Source organism: Homo sapiens, chromosome 18 (assembly GCF_000001405.40).
Source record: "Homo sapiens chromosome 18, GRCh38.p14 Primary Assembly".
Lineage (NCBI taxonomy): Eukaryota > Metazoa > Chordata > Mammalia > Primates > Hominidae > Homo > Homo sapiens.
The window spans coordinates 64,244,168-64,267,822 of record NC_000018.10 but is presented as its reverse complement, the minus strand read 5'-3'; the positions used below and the strand labels follow the sequence as shown (position 1 = coordinate 64,267,822).

The window sequence follows — 23,655 nt, the reverse complement described above, 5'->3', positions numbered from 1 at the left end:
CAATTGCTTCAAAGAGAATAAAATACCTAGGAATCCAATTACAAGGGATGTGAAGGACCTCTTCAAGGAGAACTACAAACCACTACTCAATGAAATAAAAGAGGATACAAACAAATGGAAGAACATTCCATGCTCATGGGTAGGAAGAATCAATATCGTGAAAATGGCCATACTGCCCAAGGTAATTGATAGATTCAACGCCATCCCCATCAAGCTACCAATGACTTTCTTCACAGAATTGGAAAAAACCACTTTAAAGTTCATGTGGAACCAAAAAAGAGCCTGCATTGCCAAGTCAATCCTAAGGCAAAAGAACAAAGCTGGAGGCATCACGCTACCTGACTTCAAACTATACTACAAGGCTACAGTAACCAAAACAGCATAGTACTGGTACCAAAACAGATATATAGACCAATGGAACAGAACAGAGGCCTCAGAAATAATGCCACATATCTACAACCATCTGATCTTTGACAAACCTGACAAAAACAAGAAATGGGGAGACGATTCCCTATTTAATAAATGGTGCTGGGAAAACTGGCTAGCCATATGTAGAAAGATGAAACTGGATGCCTTCCTTACACCTTACACAAAAACTAATTCAAGATGGATTAAAGACTTAAATTTTAGACCTAAAACCATAAAAACCCTAGAAGAAAACCTAGGCAATACCATTCAGGACATAGGCATGGGCAAGGACTTCATGTTTAAAACAACAAAAGCAATGGCAACAAAAGCCAAAATTGACAAATGGGATCTAATTAAACTAAAGAGCTTCTGCACAGCAAAAGAAACTACCATCAAAGTGAACAGGCAACCTACAAAATGGAAGAAAATTTTTGCAACCTACTCATCTGACAAAGGGCTAATATCCAGAATCTATAATTAACTCCAACAAATTTACAACAAAAAAAACAAACAACCCCATCAAAAAGTGGGCGAAGGATATGAACAGACACTTCTCTAAAGAAGACATTTATGCAGCCAAAAGACACATGAAAAAATGCTCATGATCACTGGACATCAGAGAAATGCAAATCAAAACCACAATGAGATACCATCTCACACCAGTTAGAATGGCGATCATTAAAAAGTCAGGAAACAACAGGTGCTGGAGAGGATGTGGAGAAACAGGAACACTTTTACACTGTTGGTGGGACTGTAAACTAATTCAACCATTGTGGAAGTCAGTGTGGCGATTCCTCAGGGACCTTGAACTAGAAATACCATTTGACCCAGCAATCCCATTACTGGGTATATACCCAAAGGATTATAAATCATTCTACTATAAAGACACATGCACATGTATGTTTCTTGCGGCACTATTCACAATAGCAAAGACTTGGAACCAAGCCAAATGTCCAACAATGATAGACTGGATTAAGAAAATGTGGCACATATACAACATGGAATACTATGCAGCCATAAAAAATGATGAGTTCATGTCCTTTGTAGGGACATGGATGAAACTGGAAACCATCATTCTCAGCAAACTATCTCAAGGACAAAAAACCAAACACCGCATGTTCTCATTCATAGGTGGGAATTGAACAATGAGAACACATGGACACAGGAAGGGGAACATCACACACTGGGGCCTGTTGTGGGGTAGGGGGAGGGGGGAGGGATAGCATTAGGAGATATACCTAATATTAAATGACGAGTTAATGGGTGCAGCACACCAACATGACACATGTATACATACATAACTAACCGCACATCATGCACATGTACCCTAGAACTTAAAGTATAATTAAAAAAAAAAAAAGAAAACTAAGGCTAGAGGATCACTTGAGTCCAGAAGTTCAAGGCCAGCCTGGGCAACATAGTGAGACCCGTTTCTGAAAAAAACACCAAAATTAGCTGGGCATGGTGGTGCATGCCTGTAGTCCCAGCTACTCGGGAGGCTGAGATGGGAGGATCGCTTAAGCCCAGGAGTTCAAGGTAGCAGTGAGTTGTGTCATTCCACTGCACTCCAGCCTGGGAGACAGAGCAAGACCTTGTGAAAGAAAAGCAAAGCAAAGCAAGGAGAGGAGAGGAAAGTGAAAGGTAAAGGGAATAATAAAGAAAAGAAGAGAGAGAGAGAAATAAATTATCCTAGGTTTTGAGAGAAATGGTGTGTGTTTTTTATTTGGTTTTGCAATAACACACAATGTTAAGCCCCAAAATATCACCAGACAGCCTTAATTTAGGAGTGAGGAGGAACACCATTGACAGGGTCTTAGGGGTGTCTTACAAGGGAAAAGTCCAAGTGGGATTGTTATGGGGCTTTGAAATCTGTGCTCGGGTCATTTCAAGGCAGGTCTTTCAAAGCAAGGAACTGTTTGGGTGGGCAAAATTTGTGATATAATAATTTAAGATAAGTGGATGCAACAAGAACAAGGAAGCCAGTGTTGACAAGTAAACTGTTAGATAAGCAAGCTGTTTGCCCAGGTGAAGAGTACTGTCTCCAATAAATTGATCTGTAGGAATTTCCCAAAGTGAATAATGAAGATATTTGCTGGTGTATTCTTATCTTTCCTAGGCAAAAGTTCCCTAGAGTAAAGAAGTCATATTGATCAAGGTGTTTTACAATTTCATCTACTTTATGTTGACACAGGTGTTCTCAGTTCATAGGTGTCTTTTGCTTTCCAAGATAAAGCTGTTAAAGTAGCAGACATTCTTTTTTGTAACATATTTACTAATACCTTCGAAAGTCATTATCTTCTCTTTGTGAAACTCACTGTGGTCTGTAATTTAGGGAATGCGAAGGTGAATAATAAAAAGGCCCTAGCAATGAGAAGCTTAGAGAATAAATATCAATTAGATAAAATGTTCATAAAAATGTAGTACCACAAAAGGAAAGAAATGAATTCCTAAGGACGGAAGTTTCTGAAGAGAGAGGATATTATTGAGAGATCGGGAGATAGTTTTGTAAAAGAGTTAATGACTTTTGAAAGCTGTAAGATTGGATCATGTACAGATGAAGAGATGGGCATCCCCAATGAATGAATGAGACTGAACAAAGAAATGGACATTTGTGAAAAATGCAAAAAATTTGCTTAGTGCAAAAAATGAGTAGAAAATAAAGTCATAGACAGATATGGGAATTATAATGGAGGAATTAGAAAGCTAGGTAAATTTTAAAATACTTTTTGTTAGCAATTACAAAACAAATGATAGTTTAATACATGATTTTATACAGGCCTATGTTCCAGAAAGGTTAATCTGGGAGCTGTATGAAAGATGAAACTGTCTTCAGTTTCTGGAAATATTGCATATTAATCTGCAAACTTTTCTACTGCAAAATACCTAACCATGTTGAATAAAATATAACAAACTTTCTCTCAAGTACCCAGCTTGCAGAAAAGTAAGGGAAATCTACAGAGGCCAAAAATTGATGAAGCTGAATCAGCACCTACTACCAAGGACGTCTGATCCACCACAGCTGTGCAGGGGCCCAGATGAAGCATTGCAATCCCTGAAAGATAACAAGTTAGATCTAAGACACCTTCTACACACATCTATGCAGAGAATGCTTGGAAATCTGTGGGCTAATCTTCCAGCGCAAGGGCAGAGCAGTAAAGAAAATCTAACAGCAAAGGAAGAAAATGACAAACAGAACTGAGAACTGATAAAGCATAACTGTACCTACATAAAATCTTGTCATTTAATTGAACTGGAATTGCATGTCTTAAGATCTTCACTTATATTTGTAAAATTTATATTTTAAACTAGATTTTTATATATACACAGATATATATATGATCATTAAATTAGCATTTTTACCTGTTTGTATGTGTAAGTTTTAATTACAAAAAAGTAAACATATTAAAAGTAGAGGGAATAATACGATAAACTCTCATAGAGCAGTCAACAAATTTTAACAATAATCAACAAGTGGTAAATCTTGCTTCTAAAATCACACTCACTGTCTCCTAACCCAGATTATTTTGAGGCAAATCTCAGATACCTTTTAATTTTATTCCACAAACTATTCAGTGTATATCTCTAAAGGGCAAAGACTTTAAAAATGTCCACATTGTCATTATAACACACACAAATAATGATTTTTTGATATTATCAAATATCCAATCAATGTTCAAAATTCAACTTTTTTTTTTTTTTTTTTTTTTGCTTAGAGTTTGATTGACACAGAATGCATTTGGTTGAGATGCCTCTTAAATTTTAAATCTATGGTTTCTGCTACTCTTTTTTCTCTTTCTCTTTCCTTGAAATTTGCCTGCTGAGAAAAGCGGACGTTTGTCCTCTCAAGTTTCTCATTTTAAATTTTGCTGATCACATTGCTGTCATGTCATTTCAGGTGTGCTTGTTTGCTTTATAAGGAATATTCCATAAGTAGTATTGTTTACTTCCTTGAATCACATCTAGAGGTACCTACATAACCAAACACATGGCTGTCTTTTGTTAAGATTAATCAGTTGGTTTAGGAATTGTCAGCTTGATTTATGTACTAAGAAAATCCCCATTGGCTTTTTACTTTGTTAATCATTGCTTGGTCTCATTTTTCCATTAATATTCTAACAGCCAGCCTATCTTTAAAAAAATATCTTTTCCAGAAAAATTTTTTATTATTCTGAGATACAGTACATACAGGAAGATTGAATTATAGCTTGTTTTTTTCCCTTTATTTACAAGTTTTCAGAATAAGGAGTTGGTTTTCTAGGACCTTCCAAAGATTACCAAAGAGATTTTTTGAAGTATCATGTGTCTCATTTGAGTATATGATTACAACAGTTTTTATTGTGTTTCAATCCATTATCTTTGGAGTCCTTCTGATTTTGTCTTTGACAACATTCTTATTTGTTGGTACAGTAAAATATGCTAGGCTCATCTGGTACATTTCATGTCTAAGATCTGAAGTCAGTCACTTTTCTAGGGAGTCGAGAGACCACATTCTGGATAGTAGCAATGACTGTGGCTCCTGGACCTGTCATTGTTTTTTGGCTTGTTCAGTGGGCAGAGTTCGCAAATACAAACATTTTTAAAACAGAAAATATAAGTTCATACTGATATTTTCAATTCAAATTTACAATTCCAGCAGTTTTACACCACTTCTTTCTTTTGCGTTGCATTTTTTCTGATGCTAAAACTCCTAGTTACTAATAAATGTTTGGAATTGTATATAAACAAGTACACACAAATATACAGAAAGGTGAATAAAGGAGAAAGTCCATAGACTGAAAAACCATTGAGAATACTGTTCCTTAAATGTTTCCCAGAGAATTGTATGGCCCATGCCTCAGTTTGACAAGGATAAACATTTCCTGTTTTTCTTTTACTATATTAAGATTTTTGAAATAAATTGTTCATTTTGGTCAAAAAATTCAAGATATTATTTAATAAATAATTATTTTAAATGTAACACAGTATATGTTTTAATTATGTGTACTAACCTAAGCAATGAATTTGCTTACCTGGGGAAGTTTTCCTGTCTCTGTTGGTGAAGGATCCTTGCCTCCAGACTTTTTTTTTTTTATCATGCATACTTTCAACAGAAAGTTTAAAGTATGCCTTTAATATATTTACTTAATTTATACTATACTATTTAAGCATAGGATTTAAAGATGAAATGAAAATGAACAGTATTTCAAACATGTATTTATTACGTTTTTGAGGGTACAATAAACTTTTCTGCTTTCAGTGTGCATACACACACACATAATTAATCCTGTAATTTAGACTCAGTTTTTAGATGTTTTACTAATTATGACAGCTACATGCTATCTTTAGCTAATACCTTAAGGCACAATATACACTTAGGGCAAATTTCGTCTTCACTGAAAATGGAAACATAGCCATATTTCAAATAGTCTTCTCGTTAATTTAGATGTTTGAGGTCTATTCCTTGTCAGATCTGGTTAAATTATCATTATGTCCTGTTGCAACATGAGTGACAAAATACTTATACTAGAAATAGAAGTATCAGTTCTGCCATTTCTTTTGTTTCCTTGTGCTTATTTATATTGCCTTCTAATTTTACTAGAATGTGTTAACATTTTATTTTTCGATTTTTTTTAAAGCTTGATAAATAATCTGTAAATTCATTTATGTGTTTCCCTAACCTGAAACATAACACACTACGTGGCTAACACAGGAGCAAGCAGTGGTGCTGCTGCCCATCTCCCAGGTTTGAGGAGCTCCACACTTCCTATTCATTGTCTGGGAACATAGGAGCAGGGCAGAGGGCCGGTGTCAAGACCTACATTAGATATTAATAAAGCTGATATTCTTTTTCTATTTTGTTTCTGAAAACAGGATAAGTATAAAGGGAAAACAAAATCTAAAATGTTCCTTCTCCGTGTGGATCATCTCCCTGGGTTGTGTGTATCCCTAGATTCTGTAGGAAAACAACGCATGAGTCATTTTCATGGCCAAGCCTCATAAAGCACCTTGTCTGCACATTACAAATACCTCCATTCCCTGCCAATATCTTGATAGGACTTCCTAATGGGACATGCTTTGCCCACCCCACTCTCCCGCCTCACCTTCTGCTGAAGCTCACACTTGAAAATCACTGAATGGGAGGCTGGTGGCAAAAATCCAGGAGGCAAATAAAAGAATGAAAGCATTGAAAAGAGGGTAGAATAAGAGGAATGTATATGGCAGCCTAATGGACTTAGCCTGGCAACTGATCCCATATGTGGAATAAAGGGGGAAAATGTTGAAGTTTCACAACCAGGTGCCTAGAAAATTGGGGTGGGATGGTAACCCAGACAGAAAGAGAGGAAATTAAGTAGGAGTGATTTAGGAAAATCAATTCATTTTTTGACACCAAGCCTTATACCTGGAGGTTCACCTGAGTGTTTGTTTGGGGAAGTGAAACCGGAATTTGGTGGGTGGCTAGGCCTGCAGATAAATATTTTAGGATTGGTTGACAGATTTGCAATAATGGAGGCATACGATAACCAAAATAAATGATGTAGACATGGAAGAAAATAATGAAAACAAGGAAAAATAAGACCTATAGGGAATTATATTTAAAGGTTGAAAGAAGGATGATAATACACAGAGTTATTTTTTTTTTAATCAGGAAGATAGAATGTCATCAAGGCAAAACAAGGAGAGTTCCCATGACAGGGTACTCATTAATGTGCAATGTAGAAGGGAAGTTGCAAAAGGGTGGGAACTAATGATCCGTTATATTTGGTAAGTTTAATATTATTGCTTTACTTATTTTTCTTCTTTGAGAGAAAAAGAAATTCCCAGATAGCTGTATGACTTTCAAGGTAATAAGCAGGAACGGAAAGAGCAGATGCAGGTTTCTCTTTAAAGCAGTTTGGTGGTGATAGGAAGAAAGGAAAGGCAGACAGGTTTGATTTTCAGTTGATAACAGATGCAACAGGATGAGGCTTCAGTCAGATTTTAGGGTTAAGAAAGACCTTGCAGGATACATAAATTAAAGACACAAAAAATGTAGAAAGTATTATTGATAGAGCACTGATATCCTCTACATACGTGTCAAATCTGCATTCATATTTTCACATGAGATTCCGTCTGAGAAGGAAAAATACTGCTAATACTCAGAATTTTAACACACCTTAAGGGCTTTACAATGACGACAGCTTTATGTTTACATTCGACTTCATCTTTAAGTGCTAGAAATAGTAGACAAGCTGAGGAAGTGGTTTCTTCAAGTTCCAGGGAAAGCAAGCAGGTCTTTAGTTCCTTGTCACTTATCTACTCCTCCTTTGTCTGGTAATCAGCAGCATGCATCAAGGCAAGCATGTAGCCACCCTCTGGGGCCTTGAGACCTAGGTTAGGCAAGGGATGCCCCGCAGGCCTGGACTGATCCACCAGGAGAACTTCAGTGCATCATGGGTCCTGCTATTGCTCATCCTCTTCCCTGGAAATGTGCGGTTTCACAGGATGGTAAACATCTTTCCCTGGAACAGAGCCTTGAGGATGGTAAGCATCTTTCCCTGGAACAGAGCCTTGAGTGGCATGGTTTATTCCTCGCAAAATCGGTGCTTGAATGACTGCTGGTGTATTGCGTACCCTGCAGCTTATATACATGGAATTGCTATAAGGCTTTTAAAATGATTAAAGAAAATAGACATTCCAGGTATTTGTTAACAAAATTTTCTATCTTTTCTTGTTTTTGCTTTCTAGTGTTTAAAAACTAAACATTTGTATCATCCCAGAAAAAGCACATTAAAAAAAAATCTTAAATGCAAGTCCTAACAAAAGAGGCCCCAAAGATAGAGGCTTGGAAATTTGAATAGCAAAAGAGAGACATTAATTAAACCATTGGCATTATGGACCCAAAGTAAGAATCAAATCTTAATCATAAAAGTTATTCCTGTACAGAAAATATTAATGGAATGTGGGCTGAAGAAAATGATGCAAAGAATTATGAATAGGAGTTGATATTTTTATATGAGATATAGAGAAACAAGCAAATACAGGTATTTAGGAAATGGAATATATAACAACCTGGTGATAAGATGACTTAATTGGGAATAAATTAAATCTAGATGTAATAAACCATACACAGGCATATTTTAAAAAGGATAATAATTTTGTGTGCTAGGAGTCTGCCTTTTCTCCCTAACTATAGTAATTTTAACTGTTTTCCCAGAGCTCCATACTCAGGCAGCATGCATCTGCAACAGGCCTTTCCAGGGTGCAAGCATCAAACCTTGCAAAAATAAAAATCCTGCAAGTACATGTTCTATTGATTGTAAGAGCTGGAAAGCCAGTCCACTTTAAATAAAAGGGTACTTTATTAAGGAATTTAGCATGATATGCTGAGAAGGTCTTCTTAGAAACTCACAGAGCATTATCAGTTCCCTCTTACTCCCTTCTTTCTCACTCTCTGTTGTTCTCTTCATCTCTCGCTTTCTCTCTGCTTTTGATTCTGTTCCCCTCCATATGTTGAACTCATTCAGTTCCCACTAAGAAGCATCTCTTTTCCTCCTTGTTGGAGGCAAGGTAAGAGACACAGATGTAGCCCACTCTATGTGTATATAAACCTGTCCTGTAGAAGCCAGATAAACTGTGATCATCCTGATGTATCATGACCACCTGTGGACCAATCAATCACTGAGATCAGGTGGATGGCATCTATATTGACCGGAAGATTAAAAAATAAAGATGTCCACTGAATATATTTTAATTTTTTTCTGATACTTTAAGCTCCTATTAGTTAGCAATTTAAGAAGAAGTAGCTCACTCATCACTTCTGAGTAGTGGCATTTGCTATTGTGTTTTGGTAGCCTGGTAAGGTTGAGAGTGCTGGTATATTTTAAGGAATTATCTACTGTACAAGTAGTAGAAATTTGCCTTCTTGTCCTCTTGCAGCTATGGTGCAGTATGATGACCACCATCCCAGTCTGCCAAGGAATGAGTAACTTCCTGCAATTTAGGACTTTCGGCCCTAAAACCAGTACAGTCCTGGACACACTAAGATTGTTGGTCACCCTAGAAGAATGGAGATCTGGCGGCTACCACTCACATATACTCGTAGAACATTGATTGCAAGGTAACTTACTGGCTGAAGCAGGTGATGCATTGCTTCGGTGGGGCTGATGTCGAAAACCTTCAGCTTCCCAAGACAACACTGATCAGGCCTCCAGGAGCATTTCTCCTGCTCAGTGTCACAGGTATGAGACATGAGTCATCTTCTCTGGAGTGGTTCTTCAATGTAATTTGGAAAATGTTCTGGCTACCTAGTTATAAAGCTTAAATCTACAGCCACCCCAGGTAGTCCATGAACTATAAAATGTCCTTACATTTATTTCCTTCCTAATAATGAAATGAGTTATGATTTTTGCAACGACGAGTCATGACTGATACACTGTGAAAGTTGGAAAATCAGTTTATCTGAGCCTCAATTTCATCATCTGCAAGATGAGAATAATAATGCCCTCCCCAGCTACCTTGGAAAGTTGCTATGAATCTCAAAAGGGATGATATATGTGAAAATACAATACCTGTAAAATTCTGTAAATATGTTAGATAATTATCAAATAATCCACTAGACATGATGGAAAGGTCTTTAGCCTGAAAAATAAACTTTCTAACTTTTCGCAAAATTGATCTTGAAAATAGTCTCAGGTTGCCTAGGTAACACATTTTATCCTGATAAATAGGTTTTGGTATTTTTATTGCATCATCTCTTATAAACTTATCCCCAAATAACATATACTGAGGGAACAAAAGGGAAAAGTATGTTGCCTTTTATCAAAGCATCTGAAATAATCCCTATCTATGATTAAAAAAAAAAAGCAGGCCGGGCGCGGTGGCTCACGCCTGTAATCCCAGCACTTTGGGAGGCCGAGGCGGGTGGATCATGAGGTCAGGAGATCGAGACCATCCTGGCTAACAAGGTGAAACCCCGTCTCTACTAAAAATACAAAAAATTAGCCGGGCACGGTGGCGGGCGCCTGTAGTCCCAGCTACTCGGGAGGCTGAGGCAGGAGAATAGAGTGAACCCGGGAGGCGGAGCTTGCAGTGAGCCGAGATTGCGCCACTGCAGTCCGCAGTCCGGCCCGGGCGACAGGGCGAGACTCCGTCTCAAAAAAAAAAAAAAAAAAAAGCAATGTGTGTCATCATTTTATTATGAGATGATGATGTAAGGACTGCCAATTATCATGGTATTAAAAAATTGACTGGTTTTTTATCTGTTGCTTATATAAGATAACGTTGTGAACTAGCAAAATCAAAACAAGAATTTCATTGCAGTGCAGAAATCCATTTTAATTAATATCAGTACGACTTATACCAGCAAGCCCTTTTATAAAGCCAGACCCTTAAGAAATGTTTATGGCCATATCTGTGATTCAGACTCTATTGACCACTCTATCTGCCTTCTCCCTTCCATTTTTATGGGTAATCCTGTGATTCAAGTCTGGAAGCTCTGTCCCAAAGGGTTTTTTAATGGAAGGACAATATATGTAGTGACTACCAATAGAATGGTTTGCCCCATGCCTCTTTTGGTAGAAACTAGCCTTGTTTCCATCTACATATTTATTTGAAGAAGACTCCTTATTAACTAGGTGTGACCAAAGTGTTCATCTTATATCATAGCATACTCTCTTGCTTAGAGTTCATTGGTCTGGAGATGAATACTACATCTAGGTTATGTGATTATCATTCTTTCTACACAAGATTTTCTCTTCCCTAATACCAGAACAGTTTTAGTGACATAGAGTTTTTTTTAAAAAAAAAGATTTTTTGAAAGTTGTTGTCTGTTAAATTTCTCTAATGGATGACAAAGTTAGATGTGAAAATTTTGGTGTTGCTGGTAGCTATGATTACTGACTATTTAAGAAAGTTGGTCTTCGATGCAAAAAAAAAAAAGGCTCTGACATGTAGAAAGCAGTAAAAGCAACCTGGTAGTGCCCCAGGCATTGGTCCTTAATGTTCCCGAAGTCCCTAACGCTCCACTCACACCTGGTTCTTCCTACGGATTGGCTGCAGCATCAAGCCACTGGCAATCAAGCCTTCCTTAACCCAGTGGTCTTTAGAGTCAGAGAGCCTGAGATTCCAGCATTGTGTTTGTTCCTCCTGACCATCTGACCATTCAGTCTCCAAGACCTAGTCTCCTCATCTGTACAACTGAGTCAATATGTTGTCATTAGATTATTGCTAGGACTAAAAATGTGATGTGACTAAAATATCTAGTGTAGTGCTGTTCCCTAACAGGTACTTAACAAATGTTTGTTTTCTTTTCATCAGAATTATTTCAACTGCTTCTTAACTTGGCTTCTTACCATTGGCATTTCCTCTCTCCCTTCTACCTTTCACACCTCAACCAGATCAGTCCTCTTAAACCAGCTCTGAGCATGCCATTCACTGGATGAAATATACATAGCATTCCTCTGTATTCCAAATAAAATAAAAAAGATGGCACAATTTTCCTTTCCAGCCTGCTCACCAGCTACCCCCAACATCATACGCTGTGTTCCAACTAAAACCAATGACTGGATAATAAACATATATCATTCTTCATGCCATAATTTGCACTTCATTTCCCTAAAATCTTATCCCCCTGTCAAAATTTGCCATTTTCTCAAAGGAAGTGTAAAGACCAGCAAATATGCAAAGATCACTGGGCAGTCTACCAAGTAGGGGTCAACTCTCCTCTGCAGTCTCACAGACCTTAGTTTATTTTTCTTTTTATCTATAGTTACGTGTGCTTGTGGCTTCATTCTCTAACTAGTGTGTGAGCACCATCCAATTAAACTTCAGGCCGTATAATGTACTGATCAATATTAGTAGCTTTGGAATCAGATGCTCCAAGGTATAAGTCATGATTTTGCTAATTTCTACCTAAGTCACCTTGGAAAAAATTTCAATTATTCTGAGACTCTCTTAAGTTTACAATGGGGTAATTATTTTTATTTCATAAACTTCATATGAGAGGTACATTCGATAAAATGTTAGTGTAATTGCTGAAGGTAAACTGTTTCATGTTAAAAAGAATAACTTTATTTTTGGCAGGGGATGGTGGCTCATGCCTGTAATCCCAGCATATTGGGAGGCCGAGATGGGAGAATTACTTGAGCCCAGGAGCTCGAGCCCAGCCTGGGCAACATGGGGAGATCCTGTTTCTGTAAAAAAATAACAAAAAAAAATTAGCCAGGTATGGTGGCATGTGCCTGAGTAGCCTCCAGCTACTCAGGAGGCTGAGGTGGGAGGATCATTTGAAACCAGGAGGTCAAGGCTGCCGTGAACCATGTTCATACCACTGCACTCCAGCGTGGGCAACAGAGCTAAGACACTGTCTCAAAAAAAAGAGAATAGATTTATTTTTTAAAAGGTGCTTTAATCAAATAATTAGGTCATATCCATCTTACTAGAGCATGGCAGCTTTTGGAAGGTTTTTCATAATGGCCAGCTACAGACAGAGCCAGATGCTGGAAGAACATTTGCATAGCTAGCATTTGTTCATTTATTCCTTTACTCCTGCATTCTTTAAACAGCCACTTGTTTGTGGAAACCAGCGGTCAGCCAGGCATAATGTTAGAAGTTAATCAAAACTGCACTTTAAAAAATAGAAAATTTTCTGCCAGAAATGAGGAGTGCAACTCAGAAATTGGTTATTCCTCAGTGTGGACCATCTCCCTGGGTTTAGAAAGAATGAGTAGACAGAGAAAGGAAATGTGGTAAAAGTTATCAACAGGTATAATAGAATTGCTTTGTATATATTATCTTCGCTTATTGCTACAACAGGTCTGAAGGTCAGTATAAATATCTTTATTTTACAAATGATGAAATTGGGGATTGGAATTTCAACAACCTGTGCAATGTTACTGAGTTAACCAGTAAGCTGAGATTTGATGATGAAACTCTTGGCTCTAAGGAAGGGCTCCTTCCTCTCTTCTGTGTGGGTTTTCAATGTGTGTCACAGTTTCACAAAAAAAGATCCCAGGAATTTAAAAATTTCACCTCATTTTATATAATGAGAAAAATAAGTTCCAATAAAACCAATAGAGTTGCCCGACATCTCTAGCTAGCCATTAAAATTCCATAATGATGCTGCCGTTCTGTGTAGAATAATTGCGTTGGCATATGATATCTGAAGAATAGTTTTGATCTTTAGATTGGGTTATACTCTCTCTAATTAATAAGCTGATTGTTGACCTCATTGTTTATATGTGCCCGTAAGCCATTGTCAGCAGTCTTCATGCACGAAGGAAGAAGCAAAGGAGCTTCCTCTTGTATAAAACCCATAAGCCTCTCAGCCTCAGTCTGCACTAAAGACATCACACCTGCAAGCCTTTCTGAAAGGCAAGGGCAGGATCTGTCTGCACCTGACAAAGCTTTAAGTGCCCTGACCTTTATAAAGTAGAGCTTAACTTTCTCTTTCAACCTTTCCCTAAGAGGCCTTTTCTCTGGACTGGGAAGAATTATTCATTTGAAGGCTTAAGACTCCTATGGCCTCAACAGTAGTTAGGTTTTGAAATGTTTAAATATGAGCAAGAGGGACAGAGTGCTACTGGAATAGTCAGTCATTTGATGTTTGAAAAGGATACTGGAAGTTGTTTCTGGTCATGCTCCCCAGCTGCTAGTGTAACACTAGGCCAGCTCATCAGAGTATCTCTCCACTTAACTGGGCAATGACAGGGAGCCACTTTATCCGTAGGGATCAAGTAGTGCTGTGTTCCTCCCTTCCGCCCCGACTGGAGAATTGCAACCCAGAAACTGGTTCTCCTGCAATGCAGACCATTTCGCTGGGTCTAAAGGGATGATTAGATAGCAAATATCCTATAATTTTGCAGTTACTGGCAAATTTCTTATTTGGAGAGTGTGATCAGAGTTAAGGACACCTAGCAAAGCAGCTGACACAGTTTCCCAAACTAGAATACTCATGAACAGATACATCAACCAAAGACAGTGAACTCTACTGAAGCCTACCCACGCGTTTATTTCCTTTCAAAAAGGAAATTTAGCCACTCAGTTGCAAAAGGTTGTCTTAGGTATCTCGTTTTGACTTGTTAGATACTTGCAGCGGTTTTTCAAGAAAAAAAGAAATGGTCTTTCTCAGAGATGAACAGCTGCTCAGAGCTCTGAAATAGCCATTTTCTTAGTTTCTACCCATAAAGGTTTAAAAAAATAATTAGACATAAGGCACCCTATTAGAATTGAATGAAAGCTAACTGTCTGACTAGTGAGTAATTGGTAGAAACGGGTTGGGGCAGCAACCATAAACCTTATTGCAAGATTTTGATTGTTTCCACTGTTTTTAAAATGCAATTTAAAACAATATATTGAGGAGTGATTTTGCATATGCCCATGAACTGTAGAGCAATATTATACATCAAGGTACTAATTCACTTAACCAGCAAATGTTTTGCAGTATCCTACATAGCATGGCATCACGAGCATGGATTCTGGAGCCAAGCCCCCTATGATGGGTTCTTGGTCCTGCCACTGTAACCCTGGGCTTGTTGCTTTGCATTGTTGCCACTTGGCCTCCTTACCTGTTACATGGGAAAGGAACAGGACCATAATCACATGGGCTATAATAAGGATTAACTGGGTGTCCTAAGTCTCCTAGAGCTGCTGTAAAAATGTGCCACAGACTGGGTGGCTTAGAACAACACAAATGTATTCTCTCACAGTTATGAGGGTAGAAATCAGAAATCAAGTGGTTGGCAAGGCCATGCTCCCTCCAAGCCCGCTGGGGGAGGATCATACCCTGCCTCTTCCAGCTTCAGTGGTCCCAGGCATTCCTTGGCTTAGGAACGCATCACTCCAGTCTCTGCCTCCATCTTCCCTTGGTGTTTGCCCCTGTGTCTGTGTCTTCTCTTGGTCATTCACTCTGAGTCTCTGTCTTATAAAGACACTAATCATTTTGAATTAAGGGCATACCTTATTCCAATATGACCCCGTCTTAAGTGATTACATTCACAACAACCATGTTTTCAAATAAGATTGCATCCTGAAGTTCAAGGGTTAAAACTCTAATAGATCTAATAAATCTTTTTAGGGGATATAATTCAACTCCTAACTGTTTGTTAATATATGTACCTAATTACTAGCATGGTAAGCAGTCAATGACTGCTAGATACAACTGCTATGATTATGCCTTGGACCCTTAGTTTAGGCAGTGCAAGTGTAGAAAGAGATGGTATGCAACTCTCAACCTAAGAAGTTTACATCACAGGACACATAATTAGGCTTTGTCTGCTAATTTCACAAAGGAGAGGGAAAAATCTATAAAATGAAGAAAAAGAGTAAATTATCATCTCTTAGCTCTTATCATTATCAGGCATTACAAAAACATACACTTGTATTTTTGAATACTAATTAGAAGTGTTCTGAATTCCTTTCTCTTTGATTTCAGCCCCAGTGCTTCTTGGACTGCTTTTGATCTGGGGCAGATCCTTTCTATATATGAGCCTGGTCCTCATTTCTGGGGCCCTCTTCAATTCCTTCCAATGTTCTATGCACTAGTATAACTTGTAGTGTGCATATATATATATATACACACACATATATATATGTGTGTGTGTGTGTGTTGTGTGTGTGTGTGTGTGTGTGTGTTGTATATTTCCAAGCTTTCTACGACTTGTTAATGCTTTTGCCTGATCTTGTTTTCCTTACTATTTCTGTTCAAAACTTCCTTAAACTGCATTTGAGCAATTATAACCTACCCATATTTTCAATCTCGGTAAAAGTATGCCTGTACTAATGTTTGTTTCTTGATGACTTCTATGAAAACAAATACCCTTTGAAAATAATTGCTTTTCTCTATTTACTACATAAATCCTAGCAGAGCAATTAGAAGGCTGTTTTCAGTAAAAAAAAGAAAAAATAGGTATAAAACTGGAAACCTGTAGTGTGATTTTTTCCTACATTCTTGTAAGACAGATGCTATCTAAAGAACTGTGATTTCTACTTATGTGAATAAAATAATGCATTTTCTTTGAGATATATGCTTGCATTTTATATCTCTTAACTCAGAGGATACAATATTTCTATTTGAAAATCCTTAAAATGAAAACATAAATTGAGGAATCCAGCAAGATTGCTCTAAAGGCAAAATCAAAATGATGTGACTAAATTATTGCAGAAATAGAAAGTTTCTATAATTCTTTATGTGGCAATTTAAAATTTACGTTACTTGGTTTTTCATCCAGGCACTTGCTTCTACCTTTTCCCTCCTTTTTATTTCCTTTTAAAAATATGCTAGAAAAAAGCAATATGTTTGGAATGTCATTCCTTTTCTAAGAACTTATCAAGTGTTATTTTGTATTATTTAAACAACTCTGGAAATTCACCTTCTCCAAAAAAGTGTCCTTAATTGAGTTAAATTTAATTGGTATTATTAACTACTTGCTATATTCCAGGCAGCAAGCTGGGACACTGAAGATACAAAGAAGTGTAATATATGTCATAGTCTGTCCAGGCTGAAAGGAAAAAAAAAAAACAAAAAACAAAGAGAAATAACAATAACAGCTTTACTGACCTACTGCCCTGCTACATTGTGTTATATGTAAAACTTCTCTGCATTGTCCAATGCCTTAGACTCTTACTTAGTGTCTTTTAAGTGTTAGGATCCAGAGAAACCAAGAAGTAAATGATACTTCCACAGTTATTAAGGATGAGCTATTTCTATACATAGACAATGAATGACAAAATAAGAGGCCACTTTTCAAGTCCCTGAGAGGCACTACACACAGAAAATATGGCAGAATTTCAGAGATGAGAGGTGTCAGAGTGAGAGCCATTAAGAGAGCAGAGCCTCGAAGGTCAAATTCTAGTTGGGGTACCATAGAAATTAGGAACTGGATACGTCTTGGAACAAGAGTATTTAGTAAGGGGAAAAGGGTAGCACAGGTGCAACGTGGGAGAAACCCACAGGGAGCAATGGAGATTCTAGTTTGGCTCAGGCTGGAAGTTCATAACTAGGAGACAAGGTTTGAACTCCTGTGGGAGAAAACATAGATGAGGTATTGAACAGAAAAGAAGATCTGGTGATTTCTCACAATTCGTGATCTCTTTATATCAGTAAGAATGAGTTCAATGACATCTATCTGTTAAATATTTACTAAGCACTACATATATATAATACATATATAATTATATATATTTGTGTATAAATACACAGCTAATGTAAAACTGCACTTTCTTGAAACATTTCTAAACAGAGAATATAGTCAGTGAAAATAAATGGACTTTTAGGATTGACAAGAATCGGTTCTAATCCTGGTTCAACCACTTTCTAGGTGTGTGATATTTGTGAAATTATCTAATGTTTCAAATACTACTTTCATTTTCTGTTAAACGGTGAAGAGTTACTTCTCAATGAGTTACTGCCATTTGTGTAACTACTGGATCAGAGGGATGAGACATTACCCAAATAACCCCCCAACAGTGAAACCCATGATTGCTATAAAAAATTCCATTGAGGAAAAAATATTTTAAAAGATTTGCAAGAAAAAAAAAAGTTAAAATCACACACAATCACATTTAGAAGCCAACACTGTAATACTTTGTCCACATTTTTTCCTAACTCTATAATAAAATATGTTTTAAATGCTGCAGTGGAAGTTCATGGGTTGATGGAACATCCAGAGGTAAACTGTAAATCCCTGAGAGGGTAGATGATAAAAGAGGTCTGTGTGTCTGCATCAGCAAAATAAGTGGCAGCCAGAGGCCAGATAATACAAGGAAGGCTGAAAGAAGAAACCAGTAAGAAGAACACAAAGAAAGCAGAATCCACATGTAGAATAGAGTTTGTGTAAAACACCAGAGGAAGAATCGTGGCACAGAAATGAGGAAAACAGGCAATAGTTGGGGCGATAACAGAGGCGGCTTCATTAACCATATTCAGTTGTTGTTTGAATCAGAAACCTAGCTTGTATTACGGAGACCTAAGCAGAAGACAACTTGATTTGGGGGCCTAGAAGGTAGAAAAATATGGAGTAGCAGGAAGAATAATCATTCAGAAAGAGCAGTTGTAGTGGTGTGTACCTGCAATCCCAGCGACTCGGAGGCTGAGGTGGGAAGATTGCTTGAGCCCAGAAGATCAAGGCCAGTTTGGGCAACATAGTGAGACCCCTGTCTCTAAAAAATAAAAATAAAAATAAAATAAAAAATACGCCAGAGAGAAGGGCCCATGAACAAAAGTAAGGGTGATGGAGTGAGCAGAAACAGCGTACAGTGTTTTCAGCCACACTGCATAATATAGATTAAGCATTTGGAACATCTCAACCCCTCATCATTAACCCTTCTTACTATTTAGAAAAAAAAAAAGTGCAGCTCGATGCCAACATTTATTTTTACATAAACAACTCAAACTCTTTGGGGTTAAAGCACATCTGACTGATTTTCAACGTGAAAATAAGATATAAAAACTGTTCTTGGAGCTATTTCTAAACAGGATTAACATCAGAATCGTTTGAATCATCAGAATCATCTATTCTGGAAAAATTGGATTCATCAAGTGAATCTTCGGCCAACAACTCTTCCAGAACGATGTTAACATCATGCGTAGGAATGGTGTTTTCTAGAATACGACATTTTCAGCAATTGAGAATTACTATATTTTGTAAGTGGAAATACCACTACTAAAAACAGAATCGTATAAATAGAATGATGTCTTTTGTTTACAACGTTGATATACTAGAGCAATGCGAAAATGATAATAAAAGTGAGATATTTCTGGCAAAGTTGTCTTGGGGTAAACACTGTAGCCTCAAGTGCCATCAGAGAGTATTCTTGGGGCAAATGAGAAAATGGTTAATATTCCCGAATTTCCTCACACTATACAACTGCATAGTCGCATACTTGCAGTGGACAGAGAGAGAGGGAGAGAGTGTTTCAGGCAGATAGGAATACTTATTGAGTAATTGTTATGTTCTAGGCACCTGACATAGTATACAGCAGTGCCTCCATAGTATACAGCATAGTATACAGCAGCAACCCAGGGGTTGAATTATGTGCCTCCAAGAGATATGTTCAATTCCTAAACCCTTGATGAAGTTAAGGTGAAGTCATGTTGGGTTGGGGTGAGTCCCAAATCCAATGACTGATGTTACTATAAGGAGCAAGAGATTTGGAGACCAACAGACAGGAAGGCCGTGGGAAGACAGAAGCAGAGACTGGGGTGGTGAAGCTGCAAGCCACGGGGTGCCAAGGATCCCCAGATGCTAGAAAGAGGCAAGAAAGCATGCTTCCTTGGAGCCTTCTGAGGGAGCATGGTTTGCTGACACACGGATTTCTGACTTCAAGCCTCCAGAACTATGAAAGAATAAATTTCTGTTGTTTTAAGCCACCCAATTTGTGGTCCTTTGAAATGGTAACTCTAGTAGAGCTTGGATTTAATTGGTGGAGAAAGGGGCTTATTATTCCTAATAAGCCTATAAATGCTAAATACGCTATATAACTTACTTCTAGCAGTGGTGAATGTTTTGAAGAATAGTGTCACAAAGGTCTACCTGTATGCTTTGATAGATCGTCGTGGGATAGCATGTCTGACAGGCAAGCAACTGTCAGATGAAAAAGTTTTCTAAAGGAAAGAATAAGTTCAAAGACGGAGAGCCTTGGAAAAGAAAGAGAAAGAATGAGGTTGGTGCATCTGTGGATCAAAAGATCAGTGTAGCTGGAGTGTGGTAAGGGAAGGTAGATGGAGATGGAGTTAGAAAGGAAATCTGGACCAGGCCACTGAGATCATGAAAAGGAGTTTGGAATCTGTATTAATTTCAATAGAATGGCATGGAAATGAGGAAGCAGAGAGATTTATGCCCTAGCAGATCGTTTGGACTGTAATGTGGACAGTGTAATCAGGAGAACAAAAGAAAAACAGGAGGTCCATGCAGAGCTATTGCAGGGGTGTAGGTGAGAAATTGTGGTGCTTGGTCTGGGACCGGTTTAGATGTGCCAATTGTGTTAGGCCATCCAGTGGGGATGTCCGTGGGTACTTACCCATATATGCCTAAGCTCGAGAAAGAAGGGGAAGAATTGGAGAAAAAAAAATTGAGAGTCAGTGATATAGGGTTTATATTTAAGCCATGAGACCAGATGAGATTGTCAACTTCAGAACTTTCTTGTCTTTTAATTAGCAATTTACACATTCGTGCTAATAGCATGCAGGGAGAAGAGAAGAAGAGTATGAATAGAATCAGGGCTTTCCCACCATGGCCTAGTAAATCAAGAAGAGTTAGAAAATGTGGCTGAGAAAGAGCCGGTAAGAACACAAGGAAAACAAACAAGGAGAGTGCAGGGGCAGGAATGGAAAGGAGTACTCCATATAGGAGGCAGTGGTAATCACATAAAATGCTGCTGAAAAGTTGGGTGCTATTTCTGACCTTGGGAGGAGCAATTTACATAGTCTGGGGCTGTAAGTGCCTGACTGAAGGGACTGGAGAAAAGGAAGGGAGGTATAGAAGGGGGAACCAGTGGAAAGGCCTAAACTCAGGGACCTCATTCTAAAAACAGACTTTGGGAAGCTTTTGGAGAGGATAAATAACTGGTCAGAATTGCAAGATCAATTCTGGTGTGTCACTGGTTACACAGCTAGGGCCTGAGATGGGAACTGCTCTGTTGACTAATTTTTCCCCTTGTCTCTCAGTATTTGAGTATTAACATGACAAGTCTGCTTGTTCTTACTGACTAAGCAAAGCCACTCAAGAATAACCTAACCTTTTACTTTATATTTCCCTACTTGATATAAGATTTATGTAACTGTAGATTTTGTTCATTCTATTAATATTGGCTACAGGGACAAACCCCTTTATGCAATGAGTACCTGGATCAGTGGTCTTGGGCAAATGCCGTGATTCAAAAATGCCACCAGCTCATGAAAAAGATGAAGATTCTCACAAACACAAAATTATTTGAATCAGGAACAAAGTTTGCAGTGATGACAACCTCTCACACCTCTCCTTATCCTCCCCCTGCTATTGTCAAGGAGGTGGTATCCTCTCATGACTGTACGGAGCAAAGCAGGGGAGGATGATGAAATATTGCAGAAGGAGAGAAGATTTTCATAATTCACGTGACCCTCCATGACATGGACATCTTTGTGATGTTGTGTTGCTTGTTCCCAAGTTTCCCTTAGGTTTGCTAGGGATAAGAAGGCTCAAATCACTGCAAACTAGTTTGGCCATCAGAACTTCAGTAACCATGGCCATGCAGAAAGGTCCAATCTGGACACCAACAACATTTACTTTCTGATTATAAAAGGATTAAATCTTCATTACAGAATACCAATAGAAAACAGAAAATATGTATTGCTATTTCCATGGACAAGTCACTGTTCTGACTGCTCTGTGTCTAATAATTTCAACAGCTCTGTGAGATGGGTGCTATGATAATCACCATTTACAGGTACAAGAAGGGAGACATAGGAGTTAAGTCATTTACCTGCAATGGTTAATTCTGTGGATCAACTTGGCTGGGCTAAGGTTCCCAGATATGAGGTCAAACTTTATTTCTCTGAGTGTGCTTTTAGATGAGATTAACATTTAAATGGGCGAAATTTAAGTAAAGCAAATTGTGCTCCATAATATGAGTGGGCCTCATCCAATCAGTTGAGGCTTGAAAAAAAAAAAAAAAAAATCCCTGGAGGAGGAAAGAATTCTGCCAGCACATTGCTTTCAGACTCGAACTGCATCATTGGCTCCTACCTGTGTCTCCAGCCTACTGGTCCACCCTGCAAATTGTGGACTTGGCAGCCTCCATAATTGTATGAGCCAAGTTCCTAAAATAAATCTTTCTATATATATACACAGACATCCTATTGGCTCTGTTCCTCTGGAGAACAGTGACTCAAGGTCATTGCTCAAGGTCACACAGCTAGAAAGGTAGTCTCTCTCTCTCTCCCCCCCACCATCCCCTCTCTGTCTCTATCTCTCTGTCTCTCTCTCTCTATCTCTATCTCTCTGTCACACACACACGCATACACACTACCCCAATTTTCCTTTGGGGGTCTACCCTTCCTCTTATGTGCAGCTTTAGAGATTCTTGCCCTACTCTAGCTGAGAGTTTTCTTAGGAGGCAATTTAAGCAAAAAAAGCCTTCTTCCTGGAATGAATAAGGATGCAAATTGGTTGGAAGTGATTCATTCTGACAGTGCCAGACTTAAGACATCCATTGCCTCCTCCTCTTGAGACCTCTTCAGTGGTTCTGTGCCTGCTCTCCCTGAAGTTTTCCTTAAATTACATAAGCTGCTCTATATTTCACCAATAAATTTATTTCTGCTTAAGTTTTATCAGAATATTATATTCTTTTGTTGTTGTTACAACTAGGGAGCCATACATGACACAGGAATATGTTAAGATTATTCTACATAATAAAGGATTCCCTGCAAACACGATTTGATAGCTTATTTAGCCAGTTTCCTAGCACTGGTTATTTATGTTTCCACATTTTCCATCCTTATACACCCCTCTCCAAACATCACTAAGCATACAAATGACACATGAGGAGGATTACATTAATTTCCAGCAGTTTTTTTTCTCCCGCCCATTTATGCTTATGCAAGTTAACCCACTCCCTGAAATCCACCTCCTTCTTAATCCTGTGTTGTTACATGTGTTTTCAAAGCAGTCTGTCCTGGTCACATGCAACATCTCCTGTGTCCCTCTCTCTACACTCTGGCTCCACCATGAGGAGGATCTCCTCTTAGGAAGCCCTGCTATCCCCACTGTAGACGGTGCCTACTCTCAAAGCACCATTGTGTACCACAAGTGTGTTAAATCTTCATGATCTCAAAGCCATCAGTTTGTGACCAATCTGTCAGAGCAATCATGGTGTCCAAGCTGGAGTGAACACGCGGCACAAGTCTTGAAATGAAGATGCCCCATTTGCAATGCTTGGGTTCAGAGTCTCCTGAAGTTGAGCATGAACAGGATTCTTTTGTTTTTTGCCTATGACTCAGTTATTCTCAAGCTGAGGAGGGCATAATCTTAACAGAAAAGCTGCTTAAAATCTGCAGTGGAAGCTTGAGCTATTTGCTTTATGAAAAGTTGGTGTTGCATCACTCCAAAGCCATCTCCATCCAACTCAACTCCAACTAAGGGAAATGCCAGCCAACATATGCCATGCCATGTCATCTGCTCCCCCAGAACCAATCCCTTTCTCTTCCTCAAAATAAAGTTTATATTCCTATCAACACATTCAAAGAGATGCCAAAAGGTCAGACTTAAAAGACTATGAAAGAGCTAAACTTTGAGAAAATAAGAAGAGCAGTAAATT

At 38.2% G+C, this 23,655-nt stretch overlaps 2 long non-coding RNA genes across 2 annotated transcripts in view; one reads left to right on the top strand and one right to left on the bottom strand.

The window, feature by feature from the left end:
* LINC01924 (long intergenic non-protein coding RNA 1924) overlaps window positions 1-23,655 on the bottom strand; it is a 319,511-nt gene that overhangs the window by 155,779 nt on the left and 140,077 nt on the right. Inside the window, exon 3 of the long non-coding RNA NR_033881.1 lies at window positions 18,430-18,522. This is a non-coding gene — a long non-coding RNA (long intergenic non-protein coding RNA 1924). The remainder of the gene's footprint in view (window positions 1-18,429; window positions 18,523-23,655) is intronic.
* The window catches only part of LINC01538 (long intergenic non-protein coding RNA 1538), a 46,974-nt gene continuing 31,086 nt past the window's right edge, over window positions 7,768-23,655 (top strand). The window contains exons 1-2 of the long non-coding RNA NR_033983.1: window positions 7,768-7,908; window positions 9,304-9,605. This is a non-coding gene — a long non-coding RNA (long intergenic non-protein coding RNA 1538). The remainder of the gene's footprint in view (window positions 7,909-9,303; window positions 9,606-23,655) is intronic.